Source organism: Homo sapiens, chromosome 8 (assembly GCF_000001405.40).
Source record: "Homo sapiens chromosome 8, GRCh38.p14 Primary Assembly".
NCBI classification, from domain to species: Eukaryota; Metazoa; Chordata; class Mammalia; order Primates; family Hominidae; genus Homo; species Homo sapiens.
In genome coordinates this window covers 136,503,650-136,526,834 of record NC_000008.11, presented here as the reverse complement: position 1 = coordinate 136,526,834, position 23,185 = coordinate 136,503,650, and the positions used below count along the sequence as shown (strand labels likewise).

The 23,185-nt window shown below is 37.1% G+C and overlaps 1 long non-coding RNA gene across 1 annotated transcript in view, besides 5 other annotated features; it reads right to left on the bottom strand.

Annotated features, from left to right (window-relative positions):
• Nucleotides 1–6,537: 6,537 nt before the first annotated feature.
• LOC124900255 (uncharacterized) overlaps nt 6,538–23,185 on the bottom strand; it is a 30,869-nt gene continuing 14,221 nt past the window's right edge. Inside the window, exons 2-3 of the long non-coding RNA XR_007061190.1 lie at nt 10,535–10,869; nt 6,538–7,687 (exon numbers count right to left, since the gene is read on the bottom strand). This is a non-coding gene — a long non-coding RNA (uncharacterized LOC124900255). The remainder of the gene's footprint in view (nt 7,688–10,534; nt 10,870–23,185) is intronic.
• Nucleotides 11,469–16,092: a meiotic recombination region, noted in NCBI's record as "this region was identified as a recombination hotspot within the HapMap CEU population". NCBI's record gives the evidence for it as "EXISTENCE:nucleotide sequencing assay evidence [ECO:0000219][PMID:20981099]".
• Nucleotides 11,469–17,764: a biological region, named in NCBI's record as "meiotic recombination hotspot E".
• Nucleotides 13,704–16,197: a meiotic recombination region, noted in NCBI's record as "meiotic double-strand break mapped by DNA meiotic recombinase 1 chromatin immunoprecipitation followed by single-stranded DNA enrichment and sequencing in the germ cells of some male individuals with the PRDM9 A/A, PRDM9 A/B and PRDM9 A/C genotypes". NCBI's record gives the evidence for it as "EXISTENCE:chromatin immunoprecipitation-seq evidence [ECO:0000229][PMID:25395542]".
• Nucleotides 14,180–15,579: a meiotic recombination region, noted in NCBI's record as "crossovers mapped in sperm cells of males of European and African ancestries; recombination frequencies vary with PRDM9 genotypes, with PRDM9 A/A > PRDM9 A/N, where N is a non-PRDM9 A allele. Low recombination frequencies are observed with some PRDM9 alleles". NCBI's record gives the evidence for it as "EXISTENCE:DNA detection assay evidence [ECO:0005519][PMID:18650392, PMID:20818382]".
• Nucleotides 14,212–17,764: a meiotic recombination region, noted in NCBI's record as "this region was identified as a recombination hotspot within the HapMap YRI population". NCBI's record gives the evidence for it as "EXISTENCE:nucleotide sequencing assay evidence [ECO:0000219][PMID:20981099]".

The following is a 23,185-nucleotide window of genomic DNA, read 5'->3' as shown; positions in this document are numbered from 1 at the left end:
GCCTTTGGGAGGTGATTGGGATTAGATGAGATCATGAAGGTGTGGTCTTTATAATGGGATTATTGCCCTTATAAGAAACATCAGAGATCTTGCTTTCTCTCTCCCCACTCTACACAAAGAAGAGGTCATTAAGTATACAGAAGGATAGTGACAACCTATGAGCCAAGGAAAGAGATTTCAGAATAAATTTACCTTGCTGGCCCCAGGATCTTAGACTTCTCAGCCTCCAGAACAACTGGTAGAAATAAATTTAGGTTGTTTAAGCCACCTAGTCTATGACATTTGTTATGCAGTCTGAGCAAACCAACACATGCAGTGACCATGAGAGACACAGGTGCCCCTGAGACTGGTTTCCTTCTTTAAGACGGGTACAAAACAAACTTCTCTGACTGTTGTATGATGAAGCTAAGAAAAGGTGTAATGTAAGGAACTAGGTTCTCTAAAAATGGTTCTTCACTTCATCATTTTCTAACTACAAATATTACACAAGTTAGGCACATTACTTCTCTTACTTGATTCCTCACCAGAAAACCAGAGGTTTTAACAATATTTACCTCATAGGGATATTGTGAAAATTAATTGAGATAATAGTCATTGTTATAGCTTTGTGCTATTGAGTGAATGCTCAATAAATGGTATCTAAAAAGGAGTCATATACATTTAAATAATATTAATTTTATCTATTTCCCTGTATCTTTACGTGTTCCTCTTTTATGACTTATTCTTCAGCCTCTGACTCACCTTGTCTTTCATGCAGCCTGCAGGGCCTCCTACCTCTGTGCTAGTTCTGAGATATAGTGAAACTGTATTTCTCTCAGGGGTGTCTGGAAACAGCAGGGTGCACTTAAAATGCAAGAAAGAAGTGAAAAATATAAAAAGGAGGAAAAATGGAACGACTTCTAATGTTAGTTTTGCCTACTAATTGCCAAAGTAATTAAAGAGCACACAGAGTTTACCAATCCATGTAATACTGGCATTCTGTGTGGCATATTCCTATACTGAGAAGAGCTGATTGACAGACTCTACCTCCTCTTTTGTTTTGGAAGCTCTGAGCTCCTTTGGGCTTTTGGCAAAGACATTGTTTTCCTTTCCCATGACAAATGCACAGATCTCAATGTTTGGCCCAAGAATTTCAGCCACAGCAGTAATGCTTCCTGCTAGTTGAGTAATTTGAAAGCTACAAATGCGTTCATATATGTAAATTCAGCTCCCACAACAGCATTGTAAGATTGGCAGAGTATTTTTCCCCATTTTACAGATTAGGAAATTGTATCCTGTTCCAAATGGATTGTGACCTATTTGAGAGAGGAGGTCATATTTTATTTGTAAATGAATTCCCAAACATAGGAACCCTCCTTGGGAATGCATAAATGAATTAGAGAGTGTATGCAGGAGGCAAGCAGAGCTCTCAGGGCTGGTGAATAGCAGATCTGTATGTAGAGTAGTAACATGCCATACTGCCTGGCTCTACCACTCACCAGCTTCACTACCTTTAGAACGTCACTGACACAGTGTCTGATGAGGTCTCTGTGGAGATTTAATATAAAGTTATTAGAAAAGTTTCTGGGAGATAACAATTGCTCATTAATGCCTGCAGTCACTCTCTTCTTCTCCCTACTCTAGCTGTGTCCAGGAGTCCTTCATTCTACCCAGCAACTGTGGCTGTTTGCCTGGTTTGGAACATGAGTGAATGTGAGAGTGAGATGTGAAAATATCTTGTCATTAAAGAGAGGGATTTTGATTTATTAACACATAGTGGTCCAGCACAATGGTAGGCTGTGTATACTGTTCATAATATACAAACTACCTTATTCAACTTAAAATTAAATAACTTACACCCTGTCATGATTTTACACAAAAAGAAAGGATGTATATGAAATAGCCAGGAGGAACTAACAAGTACAAAAATTATTTCCACATACATGCTGTCATTAAAACTTCCTCCCAGCCTGGAAAATAGGCAATACTGACTCTAATTGGATATCAAGGCTCAGAAAAGAGAGATGTTTCTTTTTCCAAGGTCACATAGTTAGAAGATGGGGTTGATATTTAGTGAAAGATGTTTTTGTTTCTTAACTCAATATGCACATGCCTACAAGCATATAATACGTGTGTATTGTATGCTGGTGACAGTATTTATTTTTGACTTTTTGTCATCTTTATTTATGCTATTTCTGGAGATATATTAGATGTTTTTAAATATTTTTTACTGAGTTTTGTGCCCTCTTTCTTCTAAAAATAATATATCCCAGAAACAAGTATATAATAGTCTTTCAATATAGTTCTTTTCTGTAAAGGATGCATGCTGGAGTAGCCAGTAAGGTTAATAAAATAGCCTTAATGAGGGCTTCTCCTGAATTTATCTCCACTCACGTTCTGCTGAACTTTATTCCTAGGTCCCACTAAGTTCTTTTCTATGTAATATGATCGTTTTAATGAGGGATAGGACATGGATGAGGGCACCGCAGTGGAGAACCTCAAGCAGCTGAGAGGCAATTGTATACCCTGAGAAGCTGGTCAGAAGCAGAGATTGATCATTTGGACAAAGAAGTAGAAGAGAAATCCTGGTCAAATATAAATATTGCAGAGGCCCTGTGATGGTTAATACCGAGTGTATACTTGATTGAATTGAAGGATACAAAGTATGGATCCTGGGTGTGTCTGTGATGGTGTTGACAAAGGAGATTAACATTTGACTTGTGGGCTGGGAAAGGCAGACCCACCCTTAATCTGGGTGGGCACAATCTAATCTGCTATCAGTGTGGCTACAGTATAAGCAGGCAGGAAAATGTGAAAAGAGAGACTGGCCTAGCCTCCCAGTCTACATCATTCTGCAGTGCTAGATGCTTCCTGCCTTCAAACATCAAACTCCAAGTCCTTCAGTTTTTGGAACTGGCAGTCCTTGCCCCTCAGCCTGCAGAAGTCCTATTGTGGGACCTGTGATCATGTGAGATAATACTTAATAAACTCCTCTTAATACTTAAACTTAATACTTAATAATCTCCTCTCTCTCTCTCTCCTATATATAAAAGGAGATATATATATATATAAAATAGGATATATATATATAAAATATATATATATAAAATAGGATATATATATATGTGTATATACACATATATGTATATATCTCTTATTAGTTCTGTCCCTCTAGAGAACCCTGACTAATACAGATTTTGGTGCCAGGAGTGGTTCTAGAGGAACAGAATTGAGGATGGAGTTCTTTCACTGGTTTGGGGGTTTCTGGAGTTGGCTGCTTAAAATGATTAGACCCCAAAATGCTAAGGACACTACTTCTAATATTATGGAGAACACTGATAGTCCTTGAAGTGAACTGTTTAGAGAGCTATGGAAAATAAATGCATTTGACACTCCTGATTCATCACTTGTGAGAGGCAAGGGGTTTGGTGACCCTGTACATAATACCTCTGACCATACGTAGAGAACCAAGGAAAATAATGAAGCTAGTTGATTGGTCCTAAGTTCAGTGGGCAAAGTGATGAAAGAAAATGATGAACTCAAGGATTCTATCTCCCGGCATCAGAAGCAGATACCAAGACTCAAGTCTGCTAAGGTTGCCCTGAGTGAGAGTCTTATCTCCTGTAAAGAAAGAGCTGAAGTTGTGGAAATACAGACACAGCTACTCTTATCATGTGAGTAGCTGACCTGCAATGGAAGGTGCATGCACAGCCTCGCCAGGTGACTACTGTTAAAATGAGGGCATTGATTGGAAAAGAATGAGACCTGCAACTTGATATCGGGACATGTGGGAAGACCGGTTACCCACTGGACCCACTGTAAGTTGGAACTGAGCTAAAACTCCATTAATTACCCAACCTCCATAAGCCCCTACTTTAACTGGATGATCACTATGACGTTTTGGGTCCCCTGGAATCAACGTCAGCTCAGGAAGACCCTGATGAAGCTGGGCACACTAAGTTTGTAAACTCTGATGAAATTTTTTTGCCAGAAGAAACAGCTTCCCCATCTCCTGTAGTGGCAACATTTCCTCCCTAACCCATGCTGCCATTAGCCTTTCCACTTTTGTCTGAGGAGACAAACCCTATACTGCCTGAGGCAACAGTGATGGCCTCCCCTGAGACAGTTACCAGGTAAGATAATGTTGATTCTCCCCAGGAGCCACCCCCAACACCCCTGTTTGCTTCTAGATCTATAACTAGACTAAAGTCCCGGCAGGCCCCTAGAGGTGAGGTTGAGAGTATGACCATGAGGAGGCATACTACACTTAAAAAGAACTGCTTGAGTTTTCTAATTTATATAAACAGAAATCTGGAGAACAGGGATGGGAATGGATAGTAGGGTATGGGATAATGGTGGAAGGAACACAGAGTTGGATCAGGCTGAATTTATTGATTTGGGCCCACTAAGTAGGGACTCGGATTTAATATTGCAGCCCAGGAAGTTAAAAAGAGTTCTCATAGTTTATTTGCTTGGTTAGCTGAAACATGGATTAAAAGATGGACCACTGTGAGTGAGCTGGAAATGCCTAATCTCTCTTGGTGTAATGTAGACAAAGGGATCCAAAGGCTTAGATTGGGATGGTGGAGTCATTTAGTCACTTTAAACCTACTCATCCCAGCTGGGAGGGTCCAGAAGCTATACCCTTGACCAATGCCTTGTGAAGTAGATTTGTGAGGGCAGAACCTGTATCTTTGAAGAGCTCAGTAATTGTCCTTCTCTGTATGTCAGATCCAACAGTGGGAACTGCAGCCACTCAACTACAATATTTAAATACAATAGGAACAATAGGATCCTGAGGTGGCAGAGGCCAAGCAGTGGCACTCATCCATGAGGTCTTAACTCAGGCATGGTGTAGAGTTGGTGCTCTGTACATATGTGGCGAATGAAGAAATGAAAAACTCAGGGAAATATCTACCAGCAACCATTATGCTTGAAACGAAATAATTTCCATTGTAACTTCCCCCTGTGTTTGTGGATGGGTGCTATGAAGTAAAGCTTAGCATAACCCAACAACCTAGGGCTTTTCTTTTCCTTTTTAAAATGTAATCCATTTCGTGAAATATTCAAGTCCATAGTGAACAAAGAGGAGCTTTTTGCCCTCTTTGTTATGTGTCTTTTATGGTGGTGTCTCTCATAGTTGTTATTTGTCTTAGGTATTCTTTCTGGCCTTAGTAATATGGATAATTTAGCCTTTCAATTAATGTTTTTTTATAAATGTCTGCCTTTGAAAATACTGAAATGTGTCAAAAATCTAAATATAAGAGCTGAAACCATCAAACTTTGAGAAAAAACTTAGAGGTAGGTCTTTATGACTTCAGATCTGTCAATGGATTCTTAGATATCACACTGTGAGCACGAAAAACAAAAAAATGGAAAAATGGGGCTTTATTAAAAAGAAATCAATAAATACAAATCAATAAATACATGTATTTATATATAACACATGAAATATATAAATATATATGAAAACATATATATATATATAGAAATACATTATCAAGAAAATAAAAAGCCTACACAATGGGAAATAATATTACCAAATTATATATCTGACAGGGGTCTAGTGGTCAGAATATATAAAGAATTATTACAACTAACAACATAAAACAAACTACCCCATTTTAAAAGGGGCAGGGGGCAGGTAAAAGAGTTGAATACACATTTGTCTACAGAAGAATACAAATGGTTAACGAATGCATGAAAAGACACTCAAAATCAGTCATTGGGAAATGCAAATCAAAACCATAATGAGTTAGAACCTTACAACCTCTAAGAGAGAGAGAAAGAATTTCAAGAGTTTGCAAGCATGTGGATTAGTTGGAACACTTATATGTTGCTGGTAGAGATGTAAAATGGTTTAGGCACTGTGGACAGCAGTTTGCAGGTTCCTCGAAAAGTGAGATAGAATTGGTGTATGATCATGCAAGGAAAATCTTTGGTACAAGCTCAATAGCACCGGAAACTGCTAACAAACAAGTACACATATATGAATGTTTATAGCGGCACAATGTATAATAACCCAAGGGTGAAAACAGTTGAAATTTTCATTAATGAATGAACAGATAAACAAATCATGATATACACATAAAATAGAATATTACTCAGTCATAAAAAGTAATAAAGTATTGATGTACACTGTGACATGGATGAACCTCCAGAACATTCTGAGTGAGAGAAGCCAGACACAATAGGCTGCACCTTGCATGATGCTGTTTGTATGAGATGTTCAAAATACAAAAGTACATACAGCCAGAAAGTACACTGGTGGTTACTTTGGGCAAAGTAGGAGGTTTGAGGAATGAAGGGCAATGGCTTAAAGGGTATAGGGTTTCCTTTTAAAACCCCAAAAATGCTTTTAGAGCCAGATAAAAGTAGTGGTTGCATAGTATTGTGAGTGGACTAAATGTCACGGAGTTATCTACTTCAAACAATGGTTAATTTTATATTATATGAACGTCATCTCAATAAAAAAGAGAAGTAAAACAAGAAGAGAAAATAAAAAAAATCTCAAAAAGGAGTAAAATAGAAAACAACTCATAAGACTGTAGATTTCAGCCAAATCATATAATACAGTAAATATCAGTGCTCTACACATATCAATTCAAACAAACAAATCATACCTGTTTCTAAAAGTAAAAGTGTAATTTCTACCTTCTATTTAGAGGATAGAAAATTAAAACTTCATCACTTCGATCCCAGAACCTATTCTGCATAATATGAAAATTTCTACATTTTCTTGAACAGAAAATCTAAGACAAGTCAGTCACCACCCAGTAGAAACGGTGCATAAGCACCTGCTTACCTGGGCAAGGACCACCAGACACCCATAAGAAGAATTCAGATAAAATGTATAACAAGTGGTAATGGCATAGTGTCAGCAAAAAAGAGACTATAAAACCTCTAGGGGCTGAGACAAGAGAAATTTAAATGCTTCAACAGACTCTTCTTCACAGACCTCACCAGGTATTGTCTTCACAATAAAGACTGACAAAAGTCTTGAGTAATCATTCCTGGCAGTTCAGGTCCAGCGGGGGGAAATCGCAGCCACTGTGGGAAAGTCACAAATCCAAGAGTGGCTCTTTTTCTTATGAAACACAACCTTAAAGATCTGGGGAAAATGCTGCAAACACTGTCACCCACTGAGTGGGTCTGAGTAAAAACCCTCTTCAATTGGAGAAAAAAAAAAAGTTGTCTAATCTTAGAGGATGATTAGGAATTCATGCTTAGCTTAGCACTCCAGGCGAAGATGGGGCAGGATTACTTAGAAGGCTTTTCTCCAGGGAGTTTGAGATTAGTGTCTGCCTAAAACTGAGGCTTAATCAGATTACAAGAACAGACTTCATCCTCCAACAACAGGCCAACCAATATCAAGTAGCCAGTAATAGCTTTTCGCTGTTGAAAGACAAGCAACAGAGTTAAGATAATCTCTGAGACATTGAGCAAATGGAAAGCATAAAGCTAAGAGTTGAGCAGATGTGGACAAAACCTCTTTGGCAGAGCAGCTGTTATAACAGGGAATATTAAAAGTATTTAAAGCTTCTGGAGTACCAAGAGTAACAATAACAAGAAAAAAATCTCAAATCTAGCTCAATTCCTGATAGACAGATACTCACCCCCAACATCAATGGCTTGTCAAAAGGAATGATTTGCTCATTTCCAAGCATAAAATATACTCACTTCAGTCTTTGTTGTTCTTCCAAGAGATCTAGATTTCAACAACAACAGTGAAAAATGATAAGACATTGTAAAAACAAAATAAACACAAAATTGCACAGACACACATATTAAAAGCTATCCACATAACAAACTGACCTAAGTGTTGAAATAGCAAAAATGTAATTTAAAGTAAGTATAATTAATATGGTAAAAGTTGTTGTGGAGAAGGTGGATACTGTTCAAAATTAGACTGGAAACTTCAGCAGAGTAATAAAAACTGTGAGGAAAAAAAAGAAGGAAAATGCAAGATTGGGTACAGTGGCTCTTACCCATAATCCCACTTTGAGAGGCCAAGGAGGGCAGATCACTTGAGCCCAGGAGTTCAAGACCAACCTGGGTAACATGGTGAAACCCTATCTTTACAAAAAAAAAAAAAAAAAAAAAATAGATGGGTGTGGTTGTGTGTGCCTGTAGTCGCAGCTACTTGGGAGGCTGAGGTGGGAGGATTGCTTGAGCCCGGGAGGCAGAGATTGCAGTGAGCCATGATCATGCCATTGCACTCCAGCCTGGGTGACAGGGCAAGACTCTGTCTCAGAAAAAAAGAAAAAAAAAACAAAAACCCTGAAAATTCTAGGAATAAAAAGCACAATAACAAAGGTGAAAAATACTTTTGATGGACTTCATCAGTCAATTCAATCAGCTACAGAAAGAATCAGCAAAATTGAAAATGGATGAAAAGAACTTGTCCTAACTGAAACCCAAGGCATGAAAAGATGGGTAGCTGGGATACCAGCAAACAACAAAACATACAATATAATCTAAGAGATGGGGACCTCCTCAATCTCTCTCAGTGTGTTAAGGATATAATTGGAATTTCAAAAGGAGAAAAGAGAGGAAAGTCAGAAGAAATATTTGAAAAAAATAGTAATTGAGAAATATAATGTATAACAGGTCCCCAACATTTTTGGCACCAGGGATTGGTTTTGCAGAAGACAATTTTTCCACAGACTCCGTGGGAGAAAGGGGGGATGGTTTCAGGATGAATCAGTTCCATCTCAGATCATCAGGCATTAGTTAGATTCTCATAAGAAGCATGCAGCCCAGATCCCTCAAGTCTGCAGTTCACAATAGGGTTCGCGCTCCTGTGAGAATCTACTGCCGCTGCTGATCTGACAGCGGGCACCTCCTGCTGTGTGGCCCACTTCCTAACAGGCCACAGGTGGATACTGGTCCACAGCCCGGAAGTTGGGGACCCCTGCTGCATAACACTTAGAGTATTACATGCACATTACTGGGAACAAAAGAGAAAAAAAAATTTGAAGTCAATCAGGGAAACAAAAAGACACATTATATCCAAAAGAATAAATAATGGAATTACAGCTAACTTCTCTTCAGATATTACACAAACCAGAGGAGAGTGGAATAAATCTTTAAAATGTGTAAGAGGAAAAACAAACTGTGTGTGTATTGGGGTGTTGGGGACGCAGTGTACTGCCAAACCAGAATTTTATTCCTAGTGAAAATATCTTTTAATAATAAAAAGAGACTTTATTTCCTGACAACGTAAAATAACAAGGAACAGTTAATACCCTCTCAGCTAAAACAATTTACAAATCAAAAAAATTTATGTAAGGCGATTTTTGAGACACTGTATATCAGGCAATAAAAGGAGAATGACCATGGAAATGAGGAACAAACAAGGTGAGCAGATTATTGACCCAGTTTACTACACAGTTTCAAGGCTGTAGCACAGAGAAGGGGAATTTCAGGCAGAGCACGACAGACTCCCAGAGCTGAGACCGACCTGAAACTCAGAGAAGATCAAGGCAGTTAGAGTTCACAGGACAGAGCGTGAGAGAGAAAAGAGCTGCAGAGACAGAAATCTAGAGACTGCAGAGTGCCTCCCTTGGAGATTCAGCAGACTATTGATTAGGGCACATGTCTGAGGAAACAGCATGAGTCTGGGGAAAGTATCATCTAAATTAATTAGTCAGAAAAAGGCTTGGAACTCTCACAGCCAGAAATAGTGGTTGGTTTCACAAGCCGCACTAGAAATCCTCATAAATTATGAGACATTGCAGGGAATATTCAAGGAATTCTTGTCTCCATAGTGAGATATAATTAGTCCTAGACTAAACATACCCCTGTTACCAACTTCCACATATTAGAAGAATGGCCGAAAAAGATCACACTGTTTATAAATAAATTAATGACATGCCAAACAGAGTTCAATGACATTTATATAAATGTGTAAATATCTAGCCCCTAATAAGATAAAATTAGCAATGTCTGCCATTAAATTAAACTGTCATATACTCATACAGTGGAATATGGGTCAGTAATATAAAAGAATGATCTCTTGATACAAACAACAAAATCTCAAATTAAATATGCTGAGTTAAAGAGGCCAGACTACTCCTTCTCATTACACACTGTATTATTTTATCTCTATAAATTATAGAGAATATAAACTAATCCACAGCAAAAGAAGGCTGACCTTTGGCTTCACATGGACAGGAGGGAAATAGTAACAAAGGGGCAGGTGTACGATTTCAGGAGTGATAGAGGAATATTTATTATTTTGATTGTACTGGTGCTCTCATGACTACATACATAGATGAAAATGTACAGTTAATACATGTACAATTTGTTGTTTGTAAATCATACCACATTTGTTCAAAATTCATCTAAGAAAATATAAAGAAAAAGAATCAGAATTAAGCAGGAGCAAGATAACTCAGTTCCTTACATAATAAGATAAAAGAAATTTATACTTTATAAAAGATGAGGCCTTTGAAAGGTTTTTAAGCAGGGGAGTGACCCAGTCCCATTTCCTTGCTAGAAAGTCCACCAGAGATTGCAGTCAGGGTGGGAGAAGGTTGAATTAAGGACTCACCCATCATTCACATTTGTGCTGCCTGGGTCTTCAGTCTTTGTCGCCATGACTTCCCAGAAAGAAAAATGTACAACTTTCCAGCTGACTTGAGTTATGAATATGGATGTGTGCTCCACAGGCCAGCTCTTTGTTGCATGTCTAATGAGCAGAGCCAGCCTCCTGCAAAAGAAGAAAGAGCTGCACGTGCAGGTGGGAAGCTGGCCTGGTGATGGGGGCAGGTCCACTCCAGCTGCTTGCCTCAATAAATGTCTTCTCTCTCTTAATATTGGGCATGCGTGTGCTGCACCATCTCTTCTTTCATAAAAGATTATTGATTGATAGTCAATTGCTTAACCCTGTAAGGAAGTGGAATGAAACACATTGTATATTCACCATTGGAGAAGCAATATTTTGGAAATTTCTTAGTTTCAGATCTGTCAGGTGTCGGAGTATGATTACTTGCAGGAACGCACATTTTAAAAGTCAACATTTGATGCATCCTATCTTGTTTGCTAATTTCCATTCTTTTTAATTTTTTCTGATGAAAAACTATATTTCATCTGTACACAAATCCATGCATGGGCTCATACCTTTGCTCCTACCCTAGTTTTTGTGAGGTCAGGCATGGTGGTTCACACCTGTAATCCCAGCACTTTGGGAGGCTGAGGAGGGTGGATCACCTGAGGTCAGGAGTTCGAGACCAGCCTGGTCAACCTGGTGAAACCCCGTCTCTACTAAAAAAAATAAAATAAAATAATTAGATGGGCATGGTGGCAGGCACCTGTAATCCCAGCTACTCAGGAGGCTGAGGCAGGAGAATCTCTTGAACCCAAGAGGCGAAGGTTGCAGTGAGCTGAGATCACGCCATTGTACTCCAGTCTGGGCAACAGAGAGAGACTTTATCGCAGAAAAAAAAAAAAAAAAAAGAGAGAGAGAGAAATGCCTTTTCATTTTTTACCCTACATTTCTTCTGTAAAATTTTACCCTGATTTTCCCAAGCCACAAGATGTACTTGTCATTAATAAATTGTCCATCTCTTTATGACTACATTAATAAATATTTATCAAACATATACTATTTCCCTAATATTTTTCCAGTCACTGAGAGTGAGACAATGAAAAAATATAGAAAAGTAACAACCCTAAAGGTGTTTATAATTTTCTGAGGAAAAAGAGAAAATAAAAACGGTAATAAATAGCATATGTAGTATATTAGATTGTGAAAAGTGCATGCAGAAAAAACAAAACAGGGCCTAGTATTGTGGCTTATGCCTGTAATCACAGTACTTTAGGAGGCCGAGAGAGGGGGGTTGCTTGAGGCCAGGAGTTTGAGGCCAGCCTGGGCAATATAGTGAGACTCCATCTCTACAAAAAATAAATATATAAAAAATAAAATAGGGAAGGATAATGAGAAGTGCTGGGTCTGGGTTGCAGTTGAAAATATGGAAGTGAGTAAGAGTGACAGTTAAAATAATAATTTGAACAAAGACCTAGGATTGATTGAACTGTGTGGGTATATGCATAAAACTTTTCCAGGAAGTGGGAAACAATTGCAAAAACCCAGGTGTGGGATCACAGTGAATTTCTTTGCAGAAGAGCAAGAAGGCAGCATTGCTGAATTAGAGTGAGGGAAAGAGTGAGTGGTGATAGACTGTGAGAGGCATGACAGACCTTTGCAAGGATTTGGGCCCTTTTATTTTTTTCTTGGATAGACTATATTCGCAGAATAGTTTTAAGTTCATAGTACAATTGAGAGAAAGGTACAGCAATTTCTGATATACACCCTGTCTCACACATACATAGCCTCCTTCATTGTCAATAGAATTTTGATTCTTACTGTGTAAAGAGTTATTTGTGTATTTATGTATGTACTTTTCTATTTATAAGAAAGAGCTTACAGGATCAGGCTTCCTTAATCTGGCTGAAGTGTTGAGTACAGTCCAAAGTGGATACAGGGCAGATCGCTACTGAATTAATATTCCAAACCTGAGCAATCTCCAATCAGATTATTTGAGAGATGATGATGGTTTAGATCAGGGTGTTTGCAATGAAAGGATTGGTCAAATTCTAAATATTTTTGAAATATACTCAATCCAGTTTGCTAACAGATTAGGTGAAGGCAATGACACAAAGTGGAATCAAGGAAGGCTCCAAGGGTTTATCCTGAACATGCAGCAGGATACAGTTTATATTAAATAAAAAAGCGGAGTGCAGGAAGGAAGGGCAGGCTGGAACCAAAATACCCAGGGCTTGTTTTTGGACATACTAAGAGTTGACAGATTAATGTCCAACTGGAGATAGTCAGTAGGCTATATGAGGATGCATTTTGGAATAAGAGTCTAGTATGGAGATAAGAATTTGAGTCAATAATAATGGTATTTTAAGTTGTGAATACAAACTACAAAATTGAAGGAAGGAAACTGAAGTGCAAAAGAGACCAAAAACTGAGTGTTTGGGTGCTCCAACATTAACAGATCAGGAAGATGAAGTCCAAGCAGGAGAGGGGAATTAGAAGGAACAGCCAGTGGTGCAGGAGGTAAATTAGAACAATTCCTTATCCTGGAAGCCTGCAGGAGAGACTTTTTCAAGGGATGAGACAGTACTGTCAAATGCTGCTGATCTGTCAGGAAGAAAAAGCACTTGGAATGGAAGATTAGATTGGTCTACACGGTCATTAGTGTTACCTCCATAGCAAGTTGGCCTTTATAATTTGGTCACATTACTCCTCTCCTCATTCTGCTAGAATCTGACTCTACCATATCATATAGTCTTAGACTTTTTACTTAAATTTGAAAAGTTTCCATGTCTTTATGTACAGAAAAAAAAATGGTAGCTACATTGTAGAGTGATTATGTGAGGATTAAATCATATAAATCATGTGAAACATTTAGAATCAGGGTTGGCACAAAACAAGTGCTCTTTAAACATTAGTTGTACCTATTGCTATTATTGCTGGAGAATAAGATATTTACAGCATGGTATAGATTTTTGTATCCCTGGAATATAGCAGGGTGTCTGGCACATAGTAGGTACTCAATAAATGAAAGACTGAAATCCTCAAATGTCTTTACTATTTCTTTAATCCCTCTGGTTCTCTATTCTTCTTTCTTAATTGAGAAATGGAACTGGAAAAATCATATACTTAAAACAATTAAGTGGATACGTGTTAATATTACCTTAATAGAAAGTGACAAAATCAGTAGTCATCTAAAAAAATTGTCATGTGAACAAATCAATAATAAAGACTAATAATCATTGCAATTAAATAATTTCAAGAGCATTTTTATATTTATTGTCTTATTAAATTCTCATACTCACTGATGATGTTGCTAATATTGTCTTTTAGCATCAGGTCATCTAAGACAGGACTTTTACTCAAAAATTACTCAAATTATATTATTGAGACTATATTATTTCCAAGAATTAAGCTACACAACTATTAGTTATTCTATTTCACTGAATACTCATGGAGAATTAATGAAATTATATCAGGTTTTTCATGATTTATCTATAAGTGGGAATCTCAAGGTTCTCATATTCTACTCAAAACAGCTTACAGCATAGTCAAGATTTGCAAACTCAGAATTCCTGACCTGAGGTTAGGTAAAGTTATTATTTCTCATCTGAGACTTCTCAACTCCAGAGATACACGATTCCAAAGAGATTAGAGAAAATTTGAAAGGTATCAATATTTGAGGAGTAGAACTGGTGCCCAAGTAATCGAGTGGGCCTGTGCAGGCAGCATTCACGGATTTTAGAACCACGGAGACAGGTGCTGCCCTGGGAATGACTACTGTTGGAGTAAATACAGTTCAAGGATGAATAAAATGTGAGAGATGAAACAAGTCCTGGGATATAACTCAAACTTGTTGTAAAAACGGACCTGCACTAGAACCTAAGAAAGACAGAAGTGACTGCTAATGCCGTTGTTTGCTGTTCCCTGGTGCATTCCCAGGAGACATCAGTAATGGCGTGCCTTGTATAAACATCTTCTCCGCCAGAGGCGGTCACAGAGCTTTTGTTGTGACTCATTTTCTTCTAATTTAAAGCAAGCGTCATCTTTTACCTCCATTCTTGCTGCTTACTGCATTTCAAAGTAACTCTAGGCTCCCCGATCTGGTCAAATAACCAATCCCAAAGTCCCATTCCTGAATATCTATTGCTGGAGTCTATGAACCCACGCTTACAGCCAATCTGCCAGTGGTACTTCTGCTGCTGTTCCTGCTGCTGGTACCAAAACACTCCTGCTGAACAGGGTCCCAGGAACCCACAGGGGTGCTATTGCTGCTGAAATCACTAACAGTGATGCTGCGGCTGATGCCAAAGTTGCTGCAAAGAGCCTGGAGCTGCCTCCAGCTGTTGCTAGTGATAGCAAAGGCACAACCAGAAGCTGGGAGAAATAACCTCCTCTCTCCGCCTTCTATCTTCCCATCAATTCGTCCCATTGGCAGAACCTGGGGAAAATATTAAAAGGCTTCTAGCTCGCTGAAATTGAGAAAACACAAAAATATGCAAATGAAACTAAGGATCACAGACTAATAATAATCACAATGGTTAAACAAGGCTAGTTTAATTCCTTGCACCACCGTCACAATGGTTAAACAGGGCTAGTTTAATTCCTTGCATTGGTACCTTTTGGTATCACTACTTTTTAAAAATTTTTGTGCAATACTGAGAACCTCAGTCATCTATCCCAGATTTGCCAGGAAAATATAGAATGCTAAATTAAATTTCAATTTCAGGTAAACAATGAATAATATTTTAGTATAAGTAGTATCCATAAAATATGGCATATGTCTGTGTATTATACATATATAATATATACATAGTAAGTACATACATACACATACAGTCCAAATACTGCATTAAACATTTACACTAAAAAGTATTCATTGCTTATCTGAAATTCAAATTTTAACTGGGTGTCTTGAATTTTAATTTGCTAAATGTTGCAACTCTATCCCTTAAGGATACATGAGGATTACATAAGATAGTGATTTGCTCATACATTCACTACAGCATTTTGCACAAAACTTCTTTCTCTCTCTCTCTTTCTCTGTTTCTCTTTCTCTCTCTTTCTCAACGGTGACATTTAGTTGCAGAGATTACGTACTTACCAGTATTTAAGTACCTATGTGTGCAAGGCACTCAGAAACACTGAAGACAACAGGTGGTTACTATAACACTTGTCCTCTTGATTCAGAATTGAAATACTCCTTATCTCACCTGCTCAGAGCATTGAAAGACGCTGAATCTTAGCTAAACCCCTCCTGAAAAATTGCCTGGAGCCAAAGAGAGTTGCCTTGCCCAAGTCATGGCCCCTTCTAGGGGTGAAGCTGCTACCCAACTTAAATGACTGGGTCATGCAGGGGTACCCGAGCCTGGTTTCTTTGCCTCAGCACAGAGTCATTCTTAAGGGACATCCAGCTTCAAAGCTCCCTGTGGAATCAGCTGAGGTCTTTGTTATGACTTTCTCTGACCAAACTCTCCCTCTGCTAAACCATGTTTTTCTACAATATGTCTTCTTACACTTTAAGCATGAGAATGACAGCATCGGTTTCCTGAGGAGTCGAATGTACAGAAGTGACTATGCTAGTACTGACCGCCTTATGGGTCATAAACAGCCTATTTTGACTGCAAAACAAAATAGCTTTAATTTAAAATCTATTATGCGCTCGTTCCTCATTGCTTCTTCAGCTCATATTGGGAGCTCAGTGCATGGTTATTGAATGATTATTGAATAAATGATTGGATGAGTAAATTAATGATGTCTATAAATAAGGGGCAGCCACAGAGTAGAAGTTCAATAAAATATTAACTTCATCCTACTGGAAGAACATTTTGTAAATCAAGGAATTTCCACTAAGTAAAGATTCTGTGTACCACTTATAAATTTATGAAATTTCTCTATCTTGGCTTAAACCTAAAACCTCTTTGGGAAGCTAACTGAACTGTGTTTCTATAGTACTGCAAAATTGTATCTTTATTGGCTGAAAGGTAAAGTATAACAGAAAAATGTGAGAGGATACAAAAAATGCATGCTTTGTGTTCTTCCATTCTCCCTAATATTCCAATATGCTGCTTTGGCACCCTGGCTAGATTTGAGACACCTTGAGACTTTATAGAATGATCAAACCTTCATTCTACCCCTTGATAGAAATTACTGTAAGTTGTCATGATATTGAAATTTCAGTGCTAATCACAAATATCAATGGGCAGATTATTCTTCAACTTGCTGCATTTGATGCAGACTTATCTTGAAACATTCTACTGCCTTTTATACTGCGTTCTGCCTTATTATCTTGCTTGCTTGATTATAAGTTTCTGATATACACAACCCCTGCACAATTCTTAAATATTGGTATTTCTGTTGGAACACATTTTCTTCTAACTCTACACACTCTTCCAGGGAGACACCATTCATACTCTGACCACTTTTATTCCATTACTCACAGATCTGTTTAGATAGATCAGAATCATCCCAGAAGCTGCAGATTCATTTACTTAATATATTGCTATAGATCTCTATGGGTATGTCTTATGCATACCCCCAGGAAGTATATGAATCTACTCTCTCCTCCACCTGTACAACTCAACTCCCCAACTCTCCATTTTCTGCTTTCTTTTACACCTATTTAAATTAGATTTGTCATTACTCACCAAATTTACACATGGTATAATTGACATTTTGTGGTACAGTTGTATGAATTATAAAATATTTATAAATTTGTGTAAACACAACTCTAATGAGGATACAGAACAGTTCAATCACCCCAAGAAATTACATCATGCTGCATCTATTACTGCAAATCCTCACACCATACCCCTTTGAACCCCAACCCCCAAAAAACACTGTCATTTAAATGTAATAACAGTATGTAACATACGTATGTAGTCACTGAGTCTGATTTATTTCCCTTTGCAATATGTCTTTGAGATTCATCTATATATCAATAGCTTGTTCCTTTTTATCATTATTTAGTATTCAATTGCATAAGCCTACCATAATTTATTTACTCATTCACTCATTAAAAGATGTTTGGGTTGTTTACAGTTTTGGCAGTTAAGAATATAGCTGCTGTAACATTTTGTAGAAGATTTTGTGTAAACATAAGCTTTTATTTATTTTAGGTAAATACCTAGAAGTGAAATTGCTGGTAATACAAAAACTCTTTGCTGACATTTATAAGAAACTGTCAAACTACTTTCCAAAGTGACTCTACCATTTTACATTCCTACCAGTGACATACCTGCACACACAAGAATATACAAAGTGGGTTTCTTTCAGACAGCATATCCTCTGATCTTGTACTTTTTCTTTGCATTTTAGTTTTTTTCCCGTAAATGTCAGAATTTTAATTGAAGTGTTTGAATAAGAGCTCTAGCTGCTTCACATCTTTGCCAGCAATTGATACTGTGATTTTAAAACTTTAGTTGTTGTTTGTGATTCTTATAGGTATGCAGTGGTATTTTATTCATTTTTTCATTGCGTTTCCCTAATGTCTACTGAAGATAAGCATATTTTCCTGTGCATATTTGTCATTTCTGTATCTTCCTAGGTGATATGTTTGTTTACATATTTCGCTAATTTTTATTTTCATTGAGTGGTTTGTTTATTGTTGAGTTTTGCGCGTTTTTTTAAACAAATTCTGGACATGAATCAATTGTTGAGTATTTGGTTTGCAAATATTCTCTCTCAGTCTGTATCTTGTGTTTTCATTCTTTTAACTGTGTTTTTCACAAGGCAAATATTTTTTATTTTAATGAAGTTAATTTATTAATATTTTATTTTTTAATTGTAAATTACTTAGAATGCATTATTTAATTCCCATGTTTCTAGAGTGTATTAGTCCATCCTCACACCACCATAAAGAACTATATGAGATGGGGTAATTTATAGACAAAAGAGGTCTAATTGATTCACAGTTCCACAGGCTGTACAGGAGGCATGGCTGAGGAGGCCTTGGGAAACTTACAATATTGGCAGAAGGGCAAAAAGGAAGCAAGCATATCTTCACATGGCAGCAGGAGAGAGAGAGAAGGAGCTAAGGGGAAAGTGCTACACACTTTCAAACAACCAAATCTTGTGAGAATTCACTCACTATCATGAGAACAGCAAGGGGAGAAATCTATCCCCATGATCCAGTCACCTCTACCAAGTCCCTCTCTCAACACTGGGGATTACAATTGGGGATTCCAACATGACATTTGGGTGGGGGCACTGAGCCAAACCATATTTTAGAGGTTTTATAATTAACTTTCTGTTATTGATTTGTATTACAGTTTGCTATGATGAGAATAGATACATTTATTGTTTTAATTAGTTTTGTTTTATGACTTTGAATACGGTCTTTGTAAATATTTCATGTGCATTTTATAAGAATATGTATTTTGCTATCGTTTAGTGGGATGACTTATAAATGTTCCCTAAATCCAATTTGTTGATGGTTTTGTTCCATTTTCTATATGCTTGCTGATTTTACAACTATGTGAATTATTTTATTAATTATTGAGATAAATATGCTGAAACCTCTAACTAGAAATTCTATTTTTTTCTTTCAGTAAAATCAGTTGATTTTTATATATTTTTATTTTTAGGTGCCTTTACATTTAGAATTGTTGTATGTTCTCAGTGAATTTACTGTTTAAACATTATATAACATTTATCTTTATGTCTAGTAATTTTTTCTTTCTCTGAAGTCTACATTGTCTGATGTAGACTTGATGTAGACTTAATATAGACTTAATTTAAACTTTCCAGGTTTCTTTTGATTAGTGTTTGCATAGTATATTGTTTTTGAACTTTTACTTTTAACTAGCACATACAATAATATATGAAGTGGGTTTCTTTTAGACAGCATATCCTCTAGTCTTATGTCTTTTGTTTGTTTGTTTTTGTTTTAAGTTTTTTCCGGAAAATGTTTAAATTTTAATAGTTTTTGCTTACATTTAATGTAAATTACATGTTTGCATTCATGCCTGTCATTTCACTATTTGGCTTCTGTTGATTCCCTCTGATTTTAATTCCTCAGTTTCTCCTTTTCTGCCTTCTTTTAAATGCTTTCAATAATTATTAGTATTATATTTTAATCCATCTATTAATTTTCTACTATATCTTTGAGTAAAATTTTCATTGAGTTTTTTAGTGTTTACATTATATATTTAATTTTTCACAGTTTACTTATAATCAATACTTCACTATTCCAGATAGAATACTTATCACCATATAGGTGACTTTACCCTCTCTTCTTACGTTATGGTTGTCACATGTATTTCACCTGCATGCATTGAAAACCCCATCAGACAATATTATCTTCTTCTGGACAAAGTTTAGACTTTTGGTATTATCACGCATGACTCAGGTTCTGCTTGTTTTTTTTTCTCAAACTATTGTTCTCTCTCTTTCTTCCAATCAGGTAGTTTAAATTGTTCTACCTTCAGTGGGTAATTAGCGATATTATGAAATCATTTTCTGAGACAAATTGTACTTGCAGAGGAGTTACATATAAATCATGTGCATAATTTTAACATTATTGTGTTAGTCTGTTTTCATGCTGCTGATAAAGACACACCTGAGACTGGGAAGAAAAAGAGGTTTAATTGGACTTACAGTTTCACATGGCTGAGGAGGCCTCAGAATCATGGCCGAAGGCAAAAGGCACTTCTTACATGGTGACAGCAAGAGAAAATGAGGAAGAAGCAAAAGCGGAAACCCCTGATAAACCCATTAAATCTCATGAGACTTATTCACTACCATGAGAATAACAAGGGAAACACTGGTCCCCATGATTGAATTACCTCCAGCTGAGTCCCTCCCAAAACACGTGGGAATTCTGGGAGATACAATTCAAGTTGATATTTTGGTGGGGACACAGCCAAACCATATCAGGTATGTAGCTGGAAATAACAATGAGACATCTAAATATAGATATTGTTTTAAGTATAGAAAAGAGCTTAGGACTACAGATAAAGCTATTGGAGTATGAATGACATTCTACGTGACGATTTGGATGAAATTCTAAGGGGAGAGCACAGCATATAAGAACTGTGGTCCTGCATAAGCATTAGGCGTTTATATTGAAACATTTAAAGTTATATGAAGTTCCAATCAGAATTTTAAGAGGAAAAACAGTAAGCAGCAGAAAATGGTGGCATAGAAGCTACCAAATAAATAAATAAACAAGCAAACAAAAGCTAACAGAAAAAGAGAGAATGTTCCTTAAATGAGGGAGAGATTCACATTTGACACATAACCTGGCCATTCAGACCAGATACTGTCTCCCACCTTACTCTGTCTTCTTGGCTTAACATAAATTCCTCGAAATAACCACAATATTCATTATGATTATGGAACTATTGCCTGAGGCCCCCTAAATTAGCTTCACTTTTCAATTCAGGACAGTTTCCAGAACTCCTAACCTTCACAGGGACCCCCTTGAGTGATGCCTTTCTAAGCTCATACAGAACTTGAAAATGGGATTCAGGTAAAAAGGTATGCTTTTATAACAGTGGAATATCAGTCAGAGGGCAAAATGATTGAATAGCAGTGGTGCTGGAATGAGCTTTCACTGGCTCAGAAAAGCCAAGTGTGCACATCTCTTTGCCGATGCTGTGTTTAGATATGTCACATTGGTGACTTGAAATTGTCTTTAAGTAGTATTTGCCACCATAGAAATCAATGAGCGCCATGAATCTTAGCTTTCTTTTTCTTTTCTTTCTTTTCTGTTTTTTTAGGGGTGATACAGGCTGACTTATGTCTCCATAAAGTTCATATATTGAAGTCTTAACCCCCAGTACCTCAGAATATTACTGTATTTGAAAGCAGTCTCTTTCAAAAGGTAATTAATTTAAAATGAAGTCACTACGGTGGGCCCTAATTCAATGTAACTGATGTTTGTTTAAGAAGGGGAGGGACACAGACATACAGGTGAGAGACCATGTGAAGATGAAGTGAGAAGACAGCCCTCTACCGTCTAAGGAGAAAGCCCTCAAAGAAACCAACCTTGATGGCACCTTGGTCCTTAGACTTCTCACCATCAGAATTGTGAGAAAATAACCATCTATTGTTTAACACATCATGTCTGCACTAGTTTGTTGTGGCATCCTTAGGAAACTTATACAGAGAGTAAGTTATCAAAGACTGGTCAGCATATCACTACCAAAGAAACTAAAAATTAAAAACCTTCAAAAGGAATGAAAATGGCTCGCATGTTAATAAATAACACGTATAGCTTTGAAAACATTATTTCACATTTATTGAGAGCTTGTTACGGGCCACCTGCTCTGCTCAATGTGAACTATCACATTAATGGCAGTACAGCTCTCCTCGACAATGGCAGAGGTGTGTGGGATTTGAGGTGGGGTAAAGGTAGGAGTTCAGGGTGTGGTAGCAGAAATATCTAAAGACAGTAAAATTAGTTCTTATCCTTTCTTTTTGTTCACCTGCTGTGCAACCTGAGACTATTCACTATACTTTGTAGTCCTCATTTTTCTTCTCTACAAAATGGAATAGTGTGATTTGATGAGGCTGGCACCACAGGTCCCTTAAGAGTGCATTTGGCTTTGTCATATTTAAGTTTCTATTTCCATGAACTTAAACAAGGAGACAGCTATGAGTAATGCCAAGTTCAGGCAAAAGGTATGGGGCTCCCATGGGGTTTACAGATAATAACAAAATCTATAAAAATATGTATGAGCACATATTGGGAAGTAATATGAAACAAACAAAAAACAAACCCATTCTTCATCACAGGGAAAAGCAGCTGTTGAATTCTCTCCCTTTACTCAGCACCCTCTCACTTAACTAGCACTCCTGCATCATTAACCAAATGTTGAGCCACTCACAGAGGGAAAAGGATAATTTTGTTCGTTCCCTTGAGGAAGATTACTGTCACCTAATGCCTGGTTCTCCAGATTGCATTTCTGCAGCAACCATCTCCCAGAGCAGTAGTTCTTGGTTGTTCCACTGGACTGCAGGAAAATAATCTATCTTTACTTTGTAGCAACCATGACCTCAGTCACTGGGATTACTAGAGTTCTATGAGAAGACAATGTATTTTTTTCAACTATACACCATTTCTTTGAATGATGCCTGTCTCACAGTGTTATTCTGTCAATTATATCAGAGATTTGTTGGTTAGAAAACATTCCACAGGTGTGTGTGTCTGTGTGTGTGTGTATATATCCTTTTTATTTTGGTTGAGCCTGCTTCTGAAACTATATTCCTTCTAGTTTGCCTCTAGAATTTCATCCATAGGTTATTTTAGCCTCCTAAGACTATGAAATTGGATTCCAATCTTGTGAACACTGCCATCTAAGAATTTTTAGTACTTTTTTTTTAATTTTAGGTCAGATGCAATGACTTCTGAGGACAACTTGTCTACTTGCAACAATTCTAGTTGAATCCAAAGGAAGAGTCACTAACATTCATTTTCTAATGGAATAAATATTATAAATATAAATGGAAAGACTATTATAAATCATTTAATCACTTTATCTATCTCTCTACCTACCTACCTACTTATCTATCTACTTACTTACCTATATAGTTATCCTTTATTTTCTACCATATTCAAGTCACCATTTTATGTCTTCATCATATAAAAATAAATATGCAGACATCACTGTTTGCAAACAAATTGAACTCTATTAAAAGTATTAATTGTATAAATAA